Raw genomic sequence first — 22416 nt, forward strand, 5'->3', positions numbered from 1 at the left:
TTTCCACAGGCTAAATACCTGACATCCTTAGAATACCAAAAGGAATCCTCCTCCCCATCCCAGCTTAACTCACCTTAGTGGCTTTCTCTTTCTCTAGTTGCACAAAATGAGAATGAACACAGGGTCACAAGGCCCATTGTTGCTTTGCCATAGCCACTTAAAGGTTCAGACCAGGAGCCCTAACAGAGACCATTATTGGCATTTAGCTAGAGGTAACCCCAGATGGTGTTTATGTACAGTCTTCCCCTGGACCTTTGAATATATTCCCACCATTTATAAAGCTAGCACCTGCATCTCTGTGCCTGCGGCTCTTTCCCCAGGACTCAGGGAAGCAAGCTGCAGACCAGAAGTGCTAAGGAATTAACACACCTCACCTGTCACCAAATATAGCACTCAATCATGACTCTCAAGAGTTATTGTATTAATACCCCAGCAGCCTCCCACCTTGGTTGGGATCATTTTGAGCTTTGCACTTACCCCAGTTTTCCTGTGGCTTTGTGACTCCACCTTCTCTTCCCTGTACAACATGCCTTTCTTTTCTGGAGTTGCCTGCACTTCTTAATTTCATTTAAATCCTCTTGGCATCTGAATCTGAAACAACTCACACTAAGACTCATTAAATCCAATGGCTATATCACAACATGAGCAAGGGAAGCGCTCACAAACAGATACACTGCAAAGGCACTGGTTATTTAAAAAGTCTTATCTCTACCACACTCAGGCCCTCAAGAGGCCACTTGAACAGGCAGGACACAGTCTCATATTACTGACTGTCCATGCCATTTAGCCCACCTAACATGCTTTCCTCCATCTTCTCAGCCCATCTGCATCTAATTCCTTCCTAGAAGCTACATTGAAACCTAACCACGCTGTTCTCTAGGATAGTGGTTCCTGATAATGTTCCTGGTCTGAACCATTAGGTGGCCATGGCAAAGCAGCAATGGGCCTTGTGACTTTGCATTCACTCCCATTTTGTGCAACTAGATAAAGAGAAAGCCAATAAAGTGAGTTGAGGTGGGGTGGAGAAATAGAGATTGCTGAGCCCCTACCCAAAAGAGGGGCCCACAAATTTGCATTTTTTTAACAAGTTCCCAGGTGATCCTAATGCTGCTGGTTCTGGGACCACACCTGTGAGGATACAAGAGGAAGATGGCTGTCTTCGAACTATGAAGAGAGCCCTCACCCACTTTTGGGTAGGGGCCCAGCAATCTCTATTTTCACAAGCCCACCAAGTGATTCTGATGTTAAAACAAAAAAAGCTTGAGAACCGCTGCTCTATGAAGTATTTCCTGTCAGCTCCAACCCCAGCTCCCCATTATCTTCCACATTCATTCAGTCAACTCTCAGCACTACCTCCTACCTCTCCTCGTGCTAGCCTCTTTTCTTCTCCTCCATTGCTAGTGCTTTAATTCAGACCAATCAATATTTCTCACCTGAATTATCAATACAGCCTCCCTACTCGTCTCCCTGAATCCAGGCCTCCAACTATTCTCCATCAGCTGCTAGAGTTACCTGTCTAGAAAGCCAATGTGTTAAGTTCCTCAAGTGTTTCAAGAAGTGCCTGAATAACTCCATCACAAGTAAATTCTGCAGGGTTTTTGAGGTCCCTCCAGTGGCCCTGCTTAAACAAGCAATGGGCTTGTGAAAAACAGCCCTTTACAGCAATATCAGAGCTCAGAGGGGACCATAGCTGAAAGCAATTCAGGCTGCAGCAGTGAAGGGTGAAGGGGGGCAGAGCTAAAGACAGATTTTTCTCATCTTTCACAGTATTCCCCAGGGCAGTTCTTACCCTCCAGGCTTAGTCAGCCCACCTGGCTTCTGCATCTACCATCCCTGGCTCTAGGATTTCTCATGTTCCTGAACTCTTCGAAATGAACTCCTTTGTAAACTAGACATAAATATTTGCCTTGTCTACTACATGGCACTGGTCCAGGCTCACATGAGAAAACATTTCCCACAGGCTTTGAAAGGTTTGGCATAAGGCAAAAGTAAGGTATTGTTGTTAAAAAAAAAATGTAATAATTATACTAGCCAACATTCAGAGAGCACTATTTTTTTTTTTGCCAGACCCTTATCTAAGAGATTAACAAGCCTATTTTTTTTTTTTTTTTTTTTTTTTTTTTGAGATGGAGTCTCTCTCTGTCACCCAGGCTGGAGTGCAGTGGTGTGATCTTGGCTCACTGCAACCTCTGCCTCCCGGCTTCAAGAGTTTCTCCTGCCTCAGCCTCCGGAGTAGCTGGGATTACAGGCATGTGCCACCATACCCAGTTAAATTTTGTATTTTTAGTAGAGATGAGGTTTCACCATGTTGGCCAGGCTGGTCTTGAACTCCCAACCTCAACTGATCCACCCGCCTTAGCCTCCCAAAGTGCTGGGATTACAGGCGTGAGTCACTGTACCCAGCCTCAACAAGCCTAATTTTATTTACTTCTCTTAACATCTCATGAGTAAGATATTATGATAATTCTACCTCTCTACATAAGAAAACTGAGGCACACAGATGTGGAAAAAACTGGCCCCAGGTTACACAACTTGCGAGTGATGGTACTGGGATTTAAACTCAGGTAGTGTCACTCAGAGTCCAAACTCCTTGCCCCTGTGTGCTGCTCCCTCACAGGCATGTCTGTGACTGTGTGTACTTGAAGGGCCTGACATGTCCTTGAGCAGGCCAATCAAGCTCTCTGTGCCGGGATCAGTCTGTTGCTCTATTGTCCATCCATCCATCCACCCATCATCCTCCATAGGTCATCATCCATCCATCCACTCATCATCCTCCACAGGGCAAGTATGGTCTGAATGTTTATGCCCCACTAAATTCACGTGCTGAAACATAATACCCAGTGTAAGGATATTTGGGCTGGGTGTGGTGGCTTATGCCTTTAATCCCAGCACTTTGGGAGACCGAGGTGGGAGAATCACTTGAGGCCAGGAGTTTGAGACCATCCTGGTCAATGCAGTGAGGCTTCATCTCTATTAAAAAAAAATTTTTTTTTAAAGGATATTTGGAGATGGGCCTTTGGGGGTTGATTAGGTCATGAGGCTTTCATGAGTGGGGTTACTGCTATTTATAAAAGAGGATTGAGGGAGTTCACTTGTCCTGTCTGCCATGTGAGGTCACATTGAAAAGATGGCTATCTCTGAACCAAGAAGACTCTGAACTAGGGCCCTCAGCAGACACCAAATCTGCCAGCACCTGGATCTTGGAACTCCCAGCCCCCAGAACTGTAAGCAATAAATGTTTGTTGTTTTTAAACCACCCAGTCTATGATATTTTGTCATAGCATTCCCAAACAGAGCAGGACAGGGCCAGAGTGATGAAAATTCCTGTTGCTGGGGTCAGAGCACCTGAGAGTGGGTTGCCAGGGTCTGCAAAGATACTAACAGTGTTGGATGGGCATGGTGGCTCATGTCTGTAATCACAGCACTTTGGGAGGCCAAGACAGGAGGACCACTTGAGACCAAGAGTTCAAGACCAGCCTTGGCAACATGGGGAGACCCTATCTTTACAAAAAAAAAAAATTAGCTGGGCATGGTGGTGTGTACCTGTGGTCCTAGCTACTTGGGAAGCTGAGGTGGGAGGATCACTTGAGCCTGGGAGGTCAAGGATTCAGTGAGCCGTGATTGTGCCACTGCACTCCAGCCTGGGTGACAGAGTGAGACCTTGTCTTAAAAAAATAAAATAAAATAAAAAAGATACTAACAGTGTGGCCTTATACAAGTAACCTACTTGCTTTGGGTCTTGGATTCCTTATCTGCAAAGTGAGGATGATATTTGTTCCTGCCTCATAATGTTTTCTGCAGATTAAATGACAGGATTCATATAAAAAGCCTACCAGAGTGCCTAATACACCACAGTAATTGCTCAATAAATAGTGGTTATTGTTGTTATTTCTCTGGGGCAGTAGCAGTGGGGTCAGGTAAAGCAGTCCCTTGCCTTCAAAATGTGGAGAGTATATTACAGGCACAATGCCTCGGGGGAACACTGGCAGCACTGAGAAAATGGTTCTGAGCCCTGAGCCCTCTCTGGGTCACTGGACAAGAACAAACAGGCTTAAGGCCTGGGGTAAGCACAGTGTTGTTTGCAGAGCTCACTGCTGCAAATAGCAGCCACCTGCGGGCTGGACAGTAGCACGTCCACCCTCTGGCAAAGGACGGGCGAGATGCGGATGAGAAAAGGACAGGAGACAGCCAGGCACTGCTCTGAGTCAGGAGCATGAGGACATGAACAGAGTGATGTCAGAGGAAAGGCAGCGTGTGTTGGCTCAGCAGGTAGAAGGGAAGGAATGGGGCACATGTCAATTCAAAAATGGCTTCTTCCTAAGTGCGAGCAGGGTTATCTGTGGGGAGCCGGTCCCTTGGCCCAGCCTCACTATCGCAACAGGCCTCAAATGTAGGAGTCTGAAGTCATGACTAATGAGGCACACGATTGCTGCCTGAGATAAACCCACAGGATTAAAATAAATTGTCTTTTCTTAGGGAGTTGAAAACTTGGATCCTACTTCCAAGAGTACACTGTAAATTAATATTTTCAAAGTAAATTCTGTAATTATCTTGTGAATAACATAGTTGTGTTGCACTCTATTTTTTTTTTTTTTTTTTTTTTTTTTGAGACGGAGTCTCGCTCTGTCGCCCAGGCTGGAGTGCAGTGGCGGGATCTCGGCTCACTGCAAGCTCCGCCTCCCGGGTTCACGCCATTCTCCTGCCTCAGCCTCCCAAGTAGCTGGGACTACAGGCGCCCGCCACTACGCCCGGCTAATTTTTTGTATTTTTAGTAGAGACGAGGTTTCACCGTTTTAGCCAGGATGGTCTCGATCTCCTGACCTCGTGATCCGCCCGCCTCGGCCTCCCAAAGTGCTGGGATTACAGGCGTGAGCCACCGCGCCCGGCCGCACTCTATTTTTGCGTTATAGATGGTTAAAACATTTGAAGTATCCCACAATATGTATAATCCCACAAATCTTGCTACAGCATTTTTTAAAAATTATTTTTTAGTAAGTCAGGAGGCTTCAAAGAGGAAGTGGAATAAGCTAGGAGATGAATCCTGTGAAACTTTGAAAATCCTTTGAAACAAACTGGACCTAAGGGTGTTACGGGTTTGTGTCCCCCTAAAAGATATGTTGAAGTCCTAATCTCCAGGGTCTCAGAATGTGACCTCATTTGGAAATAGGGTCACCGTAGATACAGTGAGTTAAAATGAGGTCATCCTAGAGCAGCACGGGTTCTTAATCCAATATGACTGGTGTCCTTGTAGGAGGAGTAGAGACAGAGAGGAGAATGCCATGTGAAGAGACAGAGACACAAAAGGAGAAGATGGGGTGTGACAATGGAGGTAGAGCTTGGAGTGAGGCATCTACAAGCCAAGGAACTCCAAGGATTGTCAGCAACCACCAGAAGCTGGAAGAGACAGGAAGAATTCACCCCCAAGTTTCAGAAGGAGCCTGGCCCTTCTGACGCCTTGATTTCAGACTTCTAGCACCCAGAACTGCAAGACAATAAATGTCTATTGCTGCAGGCCACCCAGTTGGTGGTACTTTGTTACTTTGTTACACTGTCCCTAGGAAACTGATACAAACAGTTGTTTTTTCATTTGTTTTCACAGATTCAGGCATCTGTTAGAACAAGGTCCCTTGCATTGTATTATGTAACTCAGCATATAATAGTTGCTCAGTAAATGCATGTATGAATGAATGAATGGATCTCAAAGAGCCTCTGGGATTCACCTTGACTGCCTATTTACCTCCAGCCTCTAGCCCTTGAATACTGAACTGCTTCCCAACTTAACAGGAATGCAAAGGTTCCCAGGTGTGAAAAACCAAGGCAGCAGCAAATAGACCCAGAGGGTACTGGGGCATCTGAGACACTGAGTTGGCCACACAGCCTTGGCCTCAGATCTGCCCCTTACCTCTGAGCAGCCTTGAGCTACACACTTGGTCTTTTGGTCTTTTTCAGACTGAGTGTCACTGTGTTGTCCACGCTGGCCTTGAACTCCTGGGCTCAAGCTTCCCAAGTAGCTGGCGCTACAGGTACAAGCCACCATACCTGGTTTCTTTTCCATCTTTTATAAAGTAAGTCATAGACGATTGACTTGACTGGTTGATTTGCCTGGGAAACAATTCCTTGTAATTAAAGATGAGTATCACTTCAATGTTAAGTGCACATTTTGGGTGATAAAAGCTGTAACTCAGTGTTTCTGCTTCTCCATACACTACACACAAACACTTGTACATATACATATGTAGAGTGTGTGTATGGGTTTCTGATTTTGGTGTAAACACCATTTGATTTGATATACTATGATCTTTACAATTAGTCTAATGCAACTCTTACTGTATATGCAACCATTAGATTGAAAATATATTATTAAACATGTCAGCTATGGAAAGATGACATGTAACAAAAGGAAAAGAAATAGTAAAACAAAAATCAACTCATTAAAGCATATGTGTTTTCAGAAGTATTGGACATTTACAATTCTTCAAAATGTGTAACTTCAAACATATCCAATTTATGCCTCACTAGAAAAAGTTGTATTTTGTTATTTATCCTTAGATGGAAATAGGTTAATTTCTAACAAAGAACCATCGTGACTTAGAACTGGCACCCCCAGTCAACCACAGACAGTTGCTGGGAGGATCAGATGGGAAAGAGAATGACTATGTGCTCACCATCTGTTTCCCATATTGCCTGAGAGAAGATCCAGATAATCTGAGTTTTCAGGGCAGCTAGCCTTCACATCAGTTGCCAGAAAGAGAAATGCTTCCTGCCACTTCTAAACTGACCACACTACCATAAGTATACCTCACGTTCAGTGGTCAGAATCTCCATTGCCTGCTGTGATTTGAATAATACGATGCCAAAAAATCTAGAGAACTATGACCCATCTAGATTGTACACTTTTGGGTACAAGTGTTTTAGATGTGACACTTGGTTACTCTGGGGCCTTTCTCTCTGAATTTACACAGGCCTGTCTACCTGCCAAGCAGTGTGGATTTCAGTAGCTTGCCAGAGGGTTAGCCAGACTGGGGTTTAAATTGGGGGCATGTTGCTTAAAATCAGATATTGGCATAGACCTGACATGAACATACTTTTGTAAACATTTAAAAATAATCTTGCCTAGAGGTTTTCTGACCATGGTCTTTAAAGCCCTTGTGGTTGTACGGAGTTCACTTGGGGTTACTCCAGTGGAAGCTTACTGTAGAATTGCTCTATTTCCCGCCCCTCTCTTTTTACGTATCGCGATTTTTCTCTTGAAAGGCAAAGCAGAACTTGGTTTCTAAAATTTTAATGCATGATAGCAGGCATTCGGTAGTTATTGAATGGCCTAAAATATTAAAAATATATGTACTTCGTGAATTTTGGATTAGCAGATGCTAAATAATGTCACTGCTTATGAAAGTGGACCAGACGAAAAGGCCTAGTCACTGAAAGCTGTGTGAATGGTATACAGGTATTCAGGTATACCTTCCTCTTGACACGGTCTTGTGGGTATTTCACACAGCATGGACTGTACCCCCTGGGAAAGAAAGAGGAAACCAAGTGAAGAGAACTCAGAGGTCTTGAGGTCTCTTCATGACCTTTAACTGCTCCTTGTAAATAGGGAAACCAAACACACATGCAATCAAACAACTCCCCAAGCCCATGTGGCTGAAGCCACAAGGCCCAGCTGCCATGAGGGGGTGGGTGATCTGGGTCCATATGTTATTATTCCCATCACCACCAGCTCTGGTGGAGCCCCTCTCTGAGACCCGTCCTCAACACTGCCTAGAGACAAGACACATCACAGGCAGCATCTCCCTTCTGTTGTAGCCAGGCTGAGACCACAGAGAGGTATGGCGGCCCACCTCACTGGGCACTAGGGGAAACCTGCAAGGCCTGAAGTTCTCAAGTTTCCCTCTGTTTGCTGGCCAAATGGGCTCCTCACCTTGTAGTCATGGCTATTTTGCAATTTTCAAAAATCAAGTAAAAGTAGCACTTTTACTAAGCAATTCTTATGCAAATGCACACACATACATGCACACACACACACACACAACCAGGAGATATAATCAATGCAAATGATACCTGCAGGCATGTGAAACGAGCTTGTGCTGGAGACATTGGGTAGACCAGCAAGTATGACTCTGCCCCACAAATCAAAGCATTTTTCCAGCAAATATTTATTAAGTGCCAACTATGTGCTAGGAACCATTTGCAGTGCTACGGATACAGTGATGACTAAAATAGACGACTTCCTGTGCCTCCTGTGCTTACATCCTAATGAAGGAGATAGACGATATGCACACAGACAGATAAATATTCTTACAGGAGGGACAAGCTATCTGGGAGAGCCAGAGAGACCCCAAGAAGGAGAAGTTGGAGCACGGTCCTCAATGAAATGAGAGGGAGCCAAGTGCATGACTGAGGGAGACCCTTCTGGACCAAGGAAACAGCAAATACAAAGGCCCTAGGGAGGAATGTGCTATTCAAGTAAAAGAGAAACCAAGGAGGCTGGGAGAGAACGATGGGAGAAGATGGGCAGGAGACAGCTAGGAATACCACCTGGATCAAATCTTACTGGCCCTTATGATACTTTTGAAGGTTTTGAGTCAGGGAGTGGCATCTATGTGCAGTGTGGTCCACATGGATAAATCTTGAAAAGGGCATTTATCTGTACTGCTGAGGATTGGGCAGTGTCTTTGGTTGAGTATTTAGGGATGGCCAGAGGGCCACTTTTGCTTACAGAAAGCAAGTTCAAGCTCAAGTCTCAGACATTATGGAGCTAATTAGGGAGTGGGCATCACTCTGTCCACATTTCTGTCCTCCCTCCTGCTCCCCATCCTCTGGGACTCACCCTCCACTCCAGGCTTCTAGGGAAGGTGAGCTGTGAGAAAAGACAAAACAAAAGCCAGTTAATTCGAGTCTTTCAACTTGGCCCAAGTTTAGGTAATGGAGGGGCTGATGCTGATTGGAGGTCTGGGAAGTAGCTGAGCAATGTGGGTCTTTTGTGTTTGCTCTTTGCTTTCTTTAGATTCATTTATCCAGCCCCAGCCTTGCTCTTTTATTTGCTTATTTTTTTATTTTATTGCTTCTTTATTTTTGAGCCTTTGAACTCACCCTTCTGGAAAATAGGTTCCCACTTGTACCAGCCCACCCTGTCCACGCCACACCTCTGCCACCTCAGGAAAAACCTGAGGCCAGGAGAGTTGTGATTCTCTTCTTTGATTTCAAAAGGTTTCATGGAAAAAAATGGCTTTGGGAGATAATACAGGAACACTTGATGCACAACACATAATCATTCAGCCTTGCAAATACTTTAAAAGTTAGCTGAGAGACAAATCATAGGCATTGACATCAATTCTCTCTGTGTTCTAACTCCAGGAGAAAATACAAGGGAAAAGGGAAAAGTGGAGGAAATAGGGCTTATCTCCTTCTTCTAAATAGTGACTTCAGAGCTTGGAAATACAAGATGAACTGGAATGCATGCCCTTTCCTGCCTCTTTCCGCTGCCATCAACTCCACATGCTCTCCAAGAAGCCCTGCCAGACCCTCTCCATCCTTCCCTCCTCCTCACCCCAACCTCCGGGTTCCACCCTTCAGTGTCAAAACCACCACCACCACCACCACAGAGTGGGGAAGGAGATGGGAGGAGCAGTGTTTTAACCTGCTGCACATGGACTGAAATACAGCTCTGAAGGCGGAAATAAAAACAAAGCCCTCCCATTAGAATGAAATCCAATCTCCTTGCCTCAGGCCCACTTCCTGCCCCTCCGTGCTCAGGCCACACTCTGGACTCACTGCCTCAAGTGCTTAAGCTCCCTGCTCAAACAGCGCCTGCCCATCGCTCTCCACGCCCCTGCCTCGCTGTATTGCCGTATTGCCTGCATGCTGCTCATCACCTCTACCTTCCGTTGTAGAGCTGTCTATCTGGGTGTGACCTGACCTCTCCCAGGGGGAACGGGCTGCTAAGAGTTGGGACTGCAGGGGCTTGTTTCATGCTGTGAATTAGTTCCTGGCATGCAGAAGGTACACACAAAAACAAATGAGAACAGAAGTTTGAGTAGCATAATACACTAGAAATTACTTCTTATTTATGGTATTCATTTTAGACATGGAGAAAATGAGGCCTAGAAAGGTTAGAGTGGCTTCCCCAAAGCCACATGACCAGGGAGCAGTGGGGTCAGGCCTAGAAGTCCAGGGGTCCTGATTCTTCCAGACTGGTGTTCATCCAAACACCCCACCCTCACCCACAGTGGCCTTTGGTGTGTTCTCTCTGTGTCTCTCTCATGCACACACACACACACACACACACTCCTTCTAATGGGCCACAAGGGAAATCTCAAGTAAATGATATTCAGTAGTAGTTTCCTGCCCCAACATTCAAAATTTGAGCCAAGAGAGAAAGGAAGTTGAGAGCTACTAAGTAAACATTTAAAGCCTACAAGGCAGAGATCTTCTCCAAATTTGACAGATAAAGCACTGGGCCTTGAAGAAGCAGAGAAGGTAAGAGGCTTTGCTCAGTAGCTCCACCAACAAGCTGCGTTGCTGACTCAGAGCCCTTTGTCATAACAGCACTGCTGGGCCCCTCATTAGACTGCCTGCACCAAGGCTGAGGTCTCCTGTTGGTTGTCCCCATCTCTGGTGGATGCCCTTGTGACTGCATGACCTACAGTCTCTCAAGTTCTTAACAAGCCACATCGGCTTTGGGGCAGCAGCCCTACCTTTGATTCAGAGCTTAGGGTGTGTGCCTTCGAGGCTGAGAGGAGTGTGCAGGCATAGCTGGCACTTTCTAGAATGACAGCTCATCTGCCTGCCCACCCCCCCGTGAAGGTGCCAGGGACTGAGATAACCCAAAGGCACTCACCCTCCCAGGAGTACCTCTCATCCTCCCCTGTGCATTAGCTCCTAGGGTCAGTGGATGCTCCCAGCTAGAGATTACTGGGCAAAGCCACCTTTAAAATGAACAAACTTGCACATATAGTTCCCCCAGCTACTCAGGAGGCTGACGCAGGAGGATCACTTGAACCCAGGAGTTGGAGTCCAGCATGGGCAACATGGCAGGTGAGACCCCCATCTCTAAAAAACAAAAAAGAAAAGAAAAATCAATGAGCCCAGCTAGCACTTAGCAAGTGTGGGCATAAACATGCATGTTCAATGTTCAAGCACCAGAGGACACACACGAACACCCCTCACAGTTTTATTTTAGGTCAGAAGTAGGCAACCTTAGAGTTGGAACTTGGAAACAGGCATATGTTAGTGTCATACAGAGGACAGATGAGACAGAATCTGAGGGCCTCCACAGGGCAGAATGAGGCTTAAGAGAGTTCCAGGGAAGTTAATACAGAGAAAGACTTCCTAACAACTAGAGCTGCCTGAAAAAGCAGCAGCCTGTCTGGCACGGCAGTGGCTGCTGTGGCTCAAAGGGTATGGAACATGAATGCACAGCCCCTGAGTAGAAACGCTGAGGGGACTTCAGCCTCCAGGATCCTTCCAACACTAAGACTCTGAGACATCTTGAAATAGTTCACTTACTGCTGTCTGGTGTCAAATCATCATTTCCTAAAGTCACTATGACTCATGGTTCCTGAGGACAACTTTTGTCCCCATATCCCAGAGGTATTCACTTTGAAGTTTTAAGAAAGAAGACAAACTTGTAAGCAGGGAGTTTGTGTTTGGCTGTCAGTGATAACTTACAGATATTTCTCATCTCCCTCTCCCTGTGATATATTTTAAAAGTATATTACTATAGGGAGTATACTTGGAGGAAACTGTCAAAACGTCTTCAAAACCCAAGGAGTTAAAATTGATGTCCTGCTTTCAGAAACAGCCAGGTAAATCCTTCCATTGACTAAAACTCTCTGCTCAGCACCCTCACTCAACTGTCTGGGAGCAATAAGGAGGACTTGCTAATCCTCTTCAAGGAGCAGAGAAATATTTGCCATTACACTTGTGAGCCTGCCATGTGACCCTGGGAAAGCTGCTTAGCTTCTCTGAGCCTCAGTTTCCTCATGTGAAATGTGGAGGTTAGACTAGTGCCTACTGTACAGAGTTACTGGTAGCATTAAATTAAATAATGCATGGAATGCACTTACACTATCAGACACACAATAAATACTAAAAAAAGAGGTTAGCTACCGTTATTATTAACATCATCAGCATCATCCTTATTAGAAATTACTACTGTAAAGAGAGTACAGTACTTATGAATACAACCAGGTCTCTATTCTGGATTTGCCACTCGTAGCATTAGAATAGCACAAACATGTCAGGTTCATCAATGTTTTTCTTGTTGTGCCTGGGATGTCATCCAGGCTGGCACAGGGTGCATGATACTAAGATAAAACACTTCTGAGACAGGTGACATTGCCTACTCTTGCTACCCAAAGTGTGGTCGATAGACCTGCAGCATTGGCCTCACCTGAGAGCTTGCTAGAAAATCAGCCTTGAAGGCTGGGCACAGTGACTCACCCGTGTAATCCCAGCACTTTGGGAGGCTGAGGCAGGAGGATACCTTGTGCCCAAGAATTTGAAGCCAGCCTGACCAATATGGCAAGACCCCGTCTCTAGAAAAAATTTTAAAAAATTAACTGAGTGTGGGTGACATGTTCCTATAGTCCCAGCTACTTGCGGGTACTGAGATAGGAGGATTGCTTAAGTCCAGGGGGTCGAGGTTGCAGTGAGGTATGATCATGCCACTGCACTTCAGCCTGGGCAACAGAGTAATACCCTGATGAAAAAAAGAAAACCAGCTTGGGGAACAACCCTACCTTTGATTCAGAGCTGAGGGTGAGTGTGGGGGAGGGAATAGAAGGGGAGTTGTATAGAGTTGCTCCCTGTGTATTTTTTTAACTGAGCATTAGAGATATTGTTTCCCTTTAAAATGGTCCAACCCCCAACTCCCCACTCAGCCAAACACTCTCATCAACTTGGTATATTCTAGGTGCTCTTGGGCAGTGAAAGACTGTCTTTCTAATAGCATGTGATGAGCCAAAGTAAAATGGATGACTTACTAGATAGAGGAAGCTCATTTTAGAGTTTTAGACCAGTGAAAGGATTTACCTGGCTATTTCTGAAAGCAGGACATCAATTTTAACTCCGGGGTTTAGAGGATGTTCTGACAGTGCCATTCAAGTACACTACCTATACTGATGTGCTTTATAAATATATCACAGGGAAAGAGAGATGAGAAATATATGTGAGTTCTCATTGACAGCCAAACATAAACTCATATTTAAATGAACCACAAAAGCATCTCTGTATTGTGGCCTTCAGAAAATTAGCTGAACATTCCTCCAACATCTGCCACAATGTCTGACATATAATAGTTGCCCAAAATATAACTGATATATTAATTTTTAAATTGTAGCATTTTTTAGTCTCTAAAGAATTAAAGTAATTTATTCTAAAATTCTAGGCCTACCACAATCTGGATACATATGACAGAAAAATACTAAATAACTGTATCTTAAAATTTAAAATTCTCTCTCATATAAAACAAGTGTGGAGATAAGCAGTCTCAGGCTACTTCAAGGCATTATTAATAACCCAGGCTCTTTCTTTTCTTCTCTATAAACTTCAACATATGCCATTCTCAAATCACCTCCTAGCACAAGACGGCTGCTGGAACTCCAGCCACCCCATCTGCAGTCCATGTAGCAGGAAGAAAGGAGGAAATGGATATGCATCTTCCCAGAGTCCCCCAGAATATTTCTGCCTATATCTCATTGTTTAGAGCCAGCCATGTGCCACACTTAATTGCAAAGGAGGGTGGAAAGTGTTATCTTTAATTCTGAGCATTAAGAAGCTCAGCTAAAAATCAAGGTTGGGTGATTAAGGAGGAAGAGAAGATATTGGGATAGGCAACTAGGGATGTCTGCCAAATCTTGAACCCCCTTCCAGCTGAACCTGCCGTCTGCTCGCTCTCATCTGTCCTGCCCTACAAAGATGCTCATGTACTTGTTGTCTTCTGACACGGCACTTCGGTGTCCTGCTCATCGTGTTGTCCTGGCTTGGCATGCCTCTGGCTTCTCTTCGCTGCCAGCGGCTTCCTCCTTCCAGGCTCCTATCAGGACCCTCCTCCTCCACAGAGCATCATGACCTCATTTTCCAGGAGATGCCACTCCTTGCATTTTACCTTGTTGTTAAAAATTTACCTCTAATGTCAGGTGCAGTGGCTCACACCTGTAATCCCAGCACTTTGGGAGGATGAGGTGGGCAGACCACTTGAGGTCAGGAGTTTGAGACCAGCCTGGCCACCAGGGTGAAACTCCATCTCTACTAAAAATACAAAAATTAGCCGGGCATGGTGGCATCCGCCTGTAATCCCAGCTACTTGGGAGGCTGAGGCAGGAGAATCACTTGGACCCAGGAGGCGGAGGTTGTAGTGAGCTGAGATGGTGCCACTGTACTTCAGCCTGGGTGAAGGAACAAGACTGCCTCTCAAAAAAGAAAAAAAAAAAAAAAAAGAAAAGAAAGAAAGAAAATTTACCTCCAAAATGATAGGATGAGCTTGTCAGGCCCAGGACCAATTTTGTTTTTTAACAAAGTTCCTGTCACAGTAAGCTCACCCCTTTTTGTGAATATGCCATACATATTTGGTTTTGTTGTCAATGGCGGTGATAAGCAAGAGCTTGATAAGCAGAGCTGTAAGGTTTGGGTAATATTTCGGTTTGTCAAACTCCCTCGGCTCCTACGAATAATATCACAAAACTGTACTGTCTCTCTAACCCTCTTTGGAGTAGAACTAGTCCAAGGTGCTGTTAGCTAATCTTAAAGGAATATGGAGATGTGGAGAGTGATAAAATTATTGTATAGACTTTACAGAAGACATTAAAAAAATTTTATAAGCCCTATTTGTGGATGAAGTCTGGGTCTCCGGGGTAGTTTTTGGTCTCTGCTTAACTTTGCAGAGTATTGAAGCTCTTAGAATCAGAGGTTAGAAAATTAGAAAATTATCATATTATGAAGTCTTATCTTCCTATTACACAGATGAGCAAACTGAGATAAACTGGGCTTAGAGAGAAAATGTTATGGCCAACATAGAACCAGAGTTAGGAGGCTCTTCTCCAGACACACTCCAGGTTCCTTAACACTGCACCACATCACCAAGTTAGACGACCTTTGTTTCCTTCTCTAAAGACATCTGAGACAAATACTCTATTGGGCCATTTCAGTACCCATTGTTCTTTCTTCTCTAGCCTCTCCTCCTTGTCAGAAGCCCAGACATAGACTCTCCAGTTGAGCAAGGGTAGAGTGAAGAATTTACATGTTAAACTAATCTAGGCCTTTGAAGACCTCGATTTAGAAATGGGGACCCTCAAATCTTGGCTTAGCCTCCCTTTCCTGCCTAGGGCCTGGACACTATGAAGCATTCCCATGATCTAAGCCAACAAGCCATTGTCATTGCCGTATTACATTTACATTTAGACCTTGCCATTGTTTTGGTTTTTTTCTTTTCTCAGATCTCTATTTCTGGACTAAATAGAGAAGTGACATGAAACAGTTCAGCAAACACAGCTGTCTGGGGCAGCCCCATGCCTCTGGGAATGCAGTTGCTTCTCCTCCAGTAACACCAAGGAGCCAGCTCGCACTGAAAGATCATTGGCTACCAAGCTGGCTCTGAGGTGTCTGAAATGCGACAGTTGTTTGGCGTCCACTAATGCTGGTTTTACTCATGAGTTTGGCTTGTTTCTGGAAGCAACCACGGATTATTATGACTACCGAGGCATACTATTTATTGAGTGCTTACGGTGTAAACAAAAAAGGGAATATGCCTGCTTCAAAAAGAAGCTAGCGAAGGCAATGCACATGTCTTGGGAAGAGAAATACATTTCATTTTGGCCGCTCAACAAATGATCCCACAATAGCTCTTGGAGGTCTCCCATCTCACACAAACCTATTCCTCATTCCCTGCCTGAACCAGGGAGGGTGCTGGTACCTGTGAGAGACAGAGGAGGTGTGAAGGAGGTTGGCCACAGCCCGAGTCACACGTCCCCAACCTCTTTTCTTTCCAGAGGGCCACATGGGCTTACATCTCAGCCAAGACAGAATCTCCCTTACATCAAACACTACCCACAGGACATTACAGGGATTCAACAATGCTCCTTCTGAAAGACTGAAAAATGACTCCAACCAGACTCTTCATAGCACCATCAGCTTACTGAAAAGTGGAAGAACTCTAATATCTTCTAATCCAATCTTCCTGGCTTCCACACAACATTCCTATCAGATAATTTTTTTTCCCAAAGACTGGGATTCCCCAGTTTTGTGAGGCAAATTTATTAGCAATGCCCCAGTTTGGTTCTGTAATTGTTCAACACAAAATCTTTGAGTGGCAAAGACTCAGGCTAGAGTAAGAAAGAAACTTAAGACAAACAAATTCTACAGTCTTGTAACTTAAAGATGAGGAGCCAGCTAAGGCTTTTCAGCAGAGGAGTCTCTGGTTCTATCCCTTGCAGCACGTTAGGATCACCTGGGATCTTTGTTCTTCATCTTGCCATTGACGATACGAAGCTTGTACTTCTTCTAAATACAGACTTCTCAACTATCTGGTCCAAGAATGGAACAAAAATGGAAGGCCTCATGTGCTACAAAAGAGGGTTACATTCCATGTCTTTAAAGAAAACCTTCAAACACCTGAAAGTCTCTCTATAAAGCTTCCTCTACTATCTTCCTCAAATGGAATTGACTATTCTCTGCTTTGTGTTCCTAGCATGGCCTAAGAATGTTTTTCATAGCACAACAACAATACTTTATTTGGTGGTATACCAGAGCCGGCTAGTAGCTACTCTCTAAAAAAAAGTAAATCTGAAGAAACTAGCCATATTAGATATTAAACCATATTATTAAACTACAGAAATTTAAAAGAGTTTGTGATATTGCAAGATGACTCAGAAGATCACTGGCTCAGAATAGAGGATAAAATAGAAATGATAAAAGCAGCATTTCTAAGCAGGGTAAGAAAGATTATTCAGTAAATGCTGTGAGGACTTACTGCAATGAAAAAAAAAGTTAGATTCCTATTTTGTTTCTTACATGAATATTAATCCCAGATGAATAATGATGTAAGTACAACATAATGAAACCATGAAAGTACTAGAAGGAGATATTCTTGGCCTGAGGAGATACTTTCTTGAATAAGATACAACCCAGAAATCATAAAGAAGATTGACAAATGTACTACATAAATTTTGCATTAAAAATGCCATAAGTTAAAAGAAAATGAAGTGGTAAAAGATAATTGCAATTCATAGGAGAATGGAGTTAATTTCCCTAATATATAAAGGCCCTTATATAGCAATTTGAAAAAGGGGCATAAATGAATCTTTAAATATATTTTAATGTTTTATTTCATTAAGAATATATCTGTAATATTCTTTAAAAATATTTAGAGGAAAAAAAAAAGAATAAAAAAAAGGAAGACTCATTTGACTCCAACACCCGTTAGTCTTTATAAAAGGGGTTCAATCTTTTTTAAAAATGAGAAAAGGCTTTGAATATGCAGTTCAAAGGGAATAAAAGGGCCAATAAACAATGAAAAGAGTTTTTATCTTATATAAAATTAAAGAAATGCTAATTAAAATGCCATTTTTCACCAATGCTTGTCTAATGTTAAGTCATTTGATAATACCGAGAATATAATAGACAGTCAAACTTTTTGAAGAGCAATTATGTCTTTAAAAATATAAACTGAACAAATCCTTTGACCTGGCAGCTCCATTTCTAGTAATTTAGTTCATATATATACATATATATATATATATATATATATGTATATATATATATATATATATGTATATATATATATATACTTTTATGAGTACATGGAAACATCTTCAGCAATATTTGTAACAAAGAAATGATTGCAATAGGGGAAAGTAAACAATTAAATGCCCATCAATAGGAAGTTGGGGTAACAAATTAAGGTACCTCTAACATGAAATGTACAGCTATTAAAACAAATGAGGTAGATCTGTGTGAATATAAAAAGTTATCTAAGATACAGTAAGAGAACAACACAAGGTGTAGATACATAGAAGCTTATTTCATGTAAAATAGATATGTATGCTTGTATATTTGTAGACATTTCTATAAGAAGACACGAATTATTAGCAGTAGTTACCATTTTTTAAAAATTTAACGTATGCAGAGGCAGTTCTGTACTTCATTTATTGATGCTACATATATAGCAAGTAGAAAGCATACTTGAAACTAAGACATAATATAGTTTATTTTAGGGTGAAAAGAGTGGAATGAAATTGGAGAGGGGCACATAGAAATCTTTAAACATACTTTAATTTTTTTTAAGAATATATCTGTAATACTCCTTACAAATATTTGAAGGGGAAAAAAAAGAAATGACTTACTTGACTCCGACACCCGTTAACCTCTATAAAACTGCTTAAAATAATCAGTGATACAATGATGACTCACTTTTTTTTTTTAATGTGAAAGCCTTTCATGCGTAGGGATTAACATTTCCTTTGAGAAATTGGATCTACTTGGTGGAACATTCTTGTACTGATCTTTCTTGTTTACCAGATTTTTTCTATTAATACAGTCTGAAAGGAACAGTTGTGGTTTTATAGTGTGTCTCTGTTTGTTGTCAAACAGCAGCTGATATTTTATTAAGTTACTAGTAGTGCTGGGGAAATAGCCCCATGAACCCCTTACCTCCCTCACCTGCCTTGGAGATCTCTCACCAAAATTACTGGATCTTTTATAAGACATGGTTCTCCAGCAAAATATTACTGGTAGATATTCTTTGAAACCTAGGAGGGTAAGTCTTCATGTTCTGGAAAAGTTAAAAGTTAAAAATTGTTCACTCTGAGCTGTGGGCTGGGCTCTCAGATCTGCACGGCAGAATTCTCCCTTAAATATTAGGAACTTCTTCCTGCTTACAAATCCCCACTGACACCTTTGGGAACTCTCTGTGCAGGATGGTTCAGAATCCATCACCCAGACTGCTCCCTAAGTGCAAAGAGGAGGGCTGGGTGATGTGGCATTCACTGCCCTCTTGTCTCTCTGATTCAGAAACTCATAGCGACAAAAGATAACAGCACCAAGCAATGAAACTAACATTAGTCAAATGTGGGTGGGAGGCAGCTATTGCTTTGGATACCAAATTAAGTGGCTTATCTTCTTGCACGACACACATTTTACCCTCATAGCATTAAAACGGAGTTTTAAACATGCACGGTGGATTTTCTCCCAAGCACTGTGTCATCAGTATGATGAATATTACTTAGTGAGGGGCACACATCTAAGTCACTTTTTGTATTGTTTTGTTTTGTTTTGTTTTGGAGACAAGGTCTCACTCTGTCTCCCAGGCTGGAGTGCAGTGGCATGATCACAGCTCACTGCAGCCATGACCTCCCAGGCCAGTGATCCTCCCACCTTAGCTTCCTGAGTAGCTGGGACAGAGGCATGTACCACCACGCCAGGGTAATTTACTTATTTTTTATTTTTTGCAGAGATGGGGTCTTGCTACGTTGACCAGGCTGGTCTTGAACTCCTGGCCTCCCAAATTGCTGGGATTACAAGCATGAGCCATGATGCCTGGCCCCTAAAAGTCACTTTTAAGGAGACAGTTTCCTACCCAGAAACCTGGGACAAACTCATTTCAGTAGACAGCCCAGTTGGCTAGTACCAACATCCCAATGGAAAGCATGCTAGCCACAAATTAGCCAAAGAAAGTATTATCGGAAGAAAAAAATTACATTACATATTGCTAGCGTCTGAATATGTCCCCCCAAATTCATATGTTGAAACATAATTACCAATGTGATAGTGTTGAGAGGTGAGGCCTTCAGGAAGTAATCAAGTCATAAGGGCAGTGCCCTCACGGATAGGATTAGGGCCCTCATAAAAGGGCTTAAGGGACCAGGCCCTCACCAGACACTGAACCTGCCAGCACCTTGGTCTTGGACTTCCCAGCCTCCAGAACTGTGAGAAATAAATCTTTATTGTTTGTAAATTACCCAGTCTGTGTTAGAATGTTACAGCAGTAAAAAATGGACTAAGACACATACCCTGCCACGACAAATCCCAGAACAGTACTGTCAGTGAAAAGAGCCAAAGTCTGTAAAATATTTGAAGAGTTTTATTTTGAGCCAAATATGAGTGACCATGGCCCACAGCACTGTCTCAAGAGGTCCTGAGAACATGTGCCCAAGGTGGTTGGGTTGCAGCTTGGTTTTATATGTCTTAGGGAGACAAAAGACATCAATCAATACATGTGAGGTATACATTGGTTAAGTCCCAAAAGGCAGGACAATTTGAAGGGTGGGGACTTACAGGTCACAGGTGGATTCAAAGATTTTCTGATTGGCTGAGAGTTAAGTTATTATCTAAAAACCTGGGATCAATAGAAAGGAGTGTCTGGGTTAAGATAAGGGGTTGTGGCTCCAAGGTTCTTACTATGCAGTGAAGCAGGCAGTTTCCAGTAGTCTATAGGTGGCAGGCCTTTCAGACCATAGATGGCAAATGTTTCCTATTCAATCCTTTAAGAGGTGCGAGACTCTCAGTTAATCTCTTCAAGACTGGGAGGACCTGGTAGAGGAAAGACCTAGTTATGTTAATGGAGATTCTTTACAGAGGCAAATTTCCCCCCCAAAAAAACAGCTTTACAGAGCTATTTCTAAATATGGTGATGAAACATATTTTTGGGGTAAAACATTTTGGTTTCCCTCTTCATCTGTCATGTGATGTTATGAGAGTCAAGTTGGAAAGTAATCCATGTTACATAGGGTTAAATAAAATCCATCTTCTGAGACTTTCTGTTTGTACTGTGTGACTTCTCTGACCCCTTAGGTAGGGATTTAGACAAGAGAGAAAAATGGTCAGAGTTTAGTCCTTGGTATGTTTTGGTGTCTGGGTCTTGCTCTGTCAGCCAGACTGGAGTGCAGTGACACAATCATGGCTCAGTGTAGCCTTGACCTCCTGGGCTCAAGTGATCCTCCCACCTCAGCCTCCCAAGTAGCTGGGACTACAGACACATACCACCATACCTGGCTAATTTTAAAATTTTTTTGTAGCAACAAGATTTTTCACTTTGTTGCCCGGGCTGGTCTTGAACTCCTGAGCTCAAGTGCTCCTTCCACCTCAGCCTCCCAAAGTGCTGGGATTACAAGAGTGAGCCACTGTGCCCAGCCTGGTTTGCACTTTGAGATGCTCTGTTGGCAGACTCCTCAGCAAAGCCTGCTGCCTGCTGTGTCTTCCCACTGGTGCAACAAGCCTGTTGCTCTTTGGGTGTCCTCTGCTCTCCTGTCTCTTTGGGGCTCTGGGAGACACAGGCTTTTGCATATTCACCTCACTCCTGGTCCAGTGTCCTTACTCATTCATCATGGGCACTTTAGGTCTTTCTGCTGTTCCAGATGTTAACAGGTGAATGAAGTCTCATAGTCACCGTATCAACCAGTGGGTACGGCAGCTTTCAGAATAAAACTTTCTTTCTCCAATTCTTTGCATTGTGCTATTATCTATCAACTGGCATATATTGAACACTAGGAGGCTCCAGACCTGCCCTGTCCAGTACAGGAGTCATTAGCTACTTTAGGCTATGGAGCACTTGCAAGGCACCTAATACAAATTGAGATGTGCTCTGAATGTAAAATACACGATGGATTTTGAAGACTTAACACAAAAAAAGTAAAATATCTCAATAATTTTTATACTGATTACATGTTGCAGTGGTAACATGTTAGATATATTGGGTAATTAAAATGTATTAGTAAAATTAACTTTATTGTTTCTTATTACGTTTGAATGTAACTACTCAACAATTTAAAATTACATATGTGGCACACATCTTACTTCTATTGGACAGCACTGCCCAGGACATGTTTATTCAAATGTCTGTTGAGTGCCTATGAGGGTTTAGTCACTAAGCCAAGTGCTAGCTGCATGATGGGGCTTATGAAGAAAATCAAAGCCTTTGCCTTCATGAAGACAGATAGTAATGTAAACACCCTGTGGGTTCTTGCCGGCTTCCCAGATAGAGCCAATTTATCAAGGCAGGGGAATTGCAATAGAGAAAGAGTTTACCACTGCACTCCAGCCTGGGTGAAAGAGTGAGACTGTCTCAAAAAAAAAAAAAAAAAAGAGAGAGTTCATTAGAGTGAATAGGCAACCTACAGAATGGGAGAAAACTTTTGCAACCTATCCATCTGACAAAGGGCTAATATCCAGAATCTACAAAGAACTTAAACAAATTTACAAGAAAAAAACAACCCCATCAAAAAGTGGGCAAAGGAAATAGACACTTCTCAAAAGAAGACATTTATGCAGCCAACAAACATATGAAAAAAAGCTCATCATCACTGGTTATTAGAGAAATGCAAATCAAAACCACAGTGAGATACTATCTCATGCCAGTTAGAATGGCGATCATTAAAAAGTCAGGAAACAACAGATGCTGGAGAGAATGCGGAGAAACAGGAA

General features: G+C 43.0%; 4 annotated features.

Moving 5' to 3' along the window:
- Positions 4060 to 4549: a transcriptional cis regulatory region, noted in NCBI's record as "candidate enhancer chr2.5074 targeted for multiplex CRISPR interference". NCBI's record gives its function as "positively regulates FMNL2 gene expression in K562 cells {active_cell/tissue: K562}" and the evidence as "EXISTENCE:mutant phenotype evidence [ECO:0000015][PMID:30612741]".
- Positions 10816 to 10875: a silencer, noted in NCBI's record as "silent region_12007". NCBI's record gives its function as "represses an Ori minimal core promoter by ATAC-STARR-seq in GM12878 lymphoblastoid cells {active_cell/tissue: GM12878}" and the evidence as "EXISTENCE:reporter gene assay evidence [ECO:0000049][PMID:35858748]".
- Positions 15072 to 16072: an enhancer, noted in NCBI's record as "amplified fragment containing the chr2:152627787-152628787 (GRCh37) CAGE-defined region". NCBI's record gives its function as "transcribed enhancer in B cells {active_cell/tissue: B cell}" and the evidence as "EXISTENCE:reporter gene assay evidence [ECO:0000049][PMID:24670763]".
- Positions 15801 to 15980: an enhancer, noted in NCBI's record as "active region_16638". NCBI's record gives its function as "activates an Ori minimal core promoter by ATAC-STARR-seq in GM12878 lymphoblastoid cells {active_cell/tissue: GM12878}" and the evidence as "EXISTENCE:reporter gene assay evidence [ECO:0000049][PMID:35858748]".

The sequence above is a fragment of the Homo sapiens genome, chromosome 2 (assembly GCF_000001405.40).
Source record: "Homo sapiens chromosome 2, GRCh38.p14 Primary Assembly".
Taxonomy (NCBI): Eukaryota; Metazoa; Chordata; class Mammalia; order Primates; family Hominidae; genus Homo; species Homo sapiens.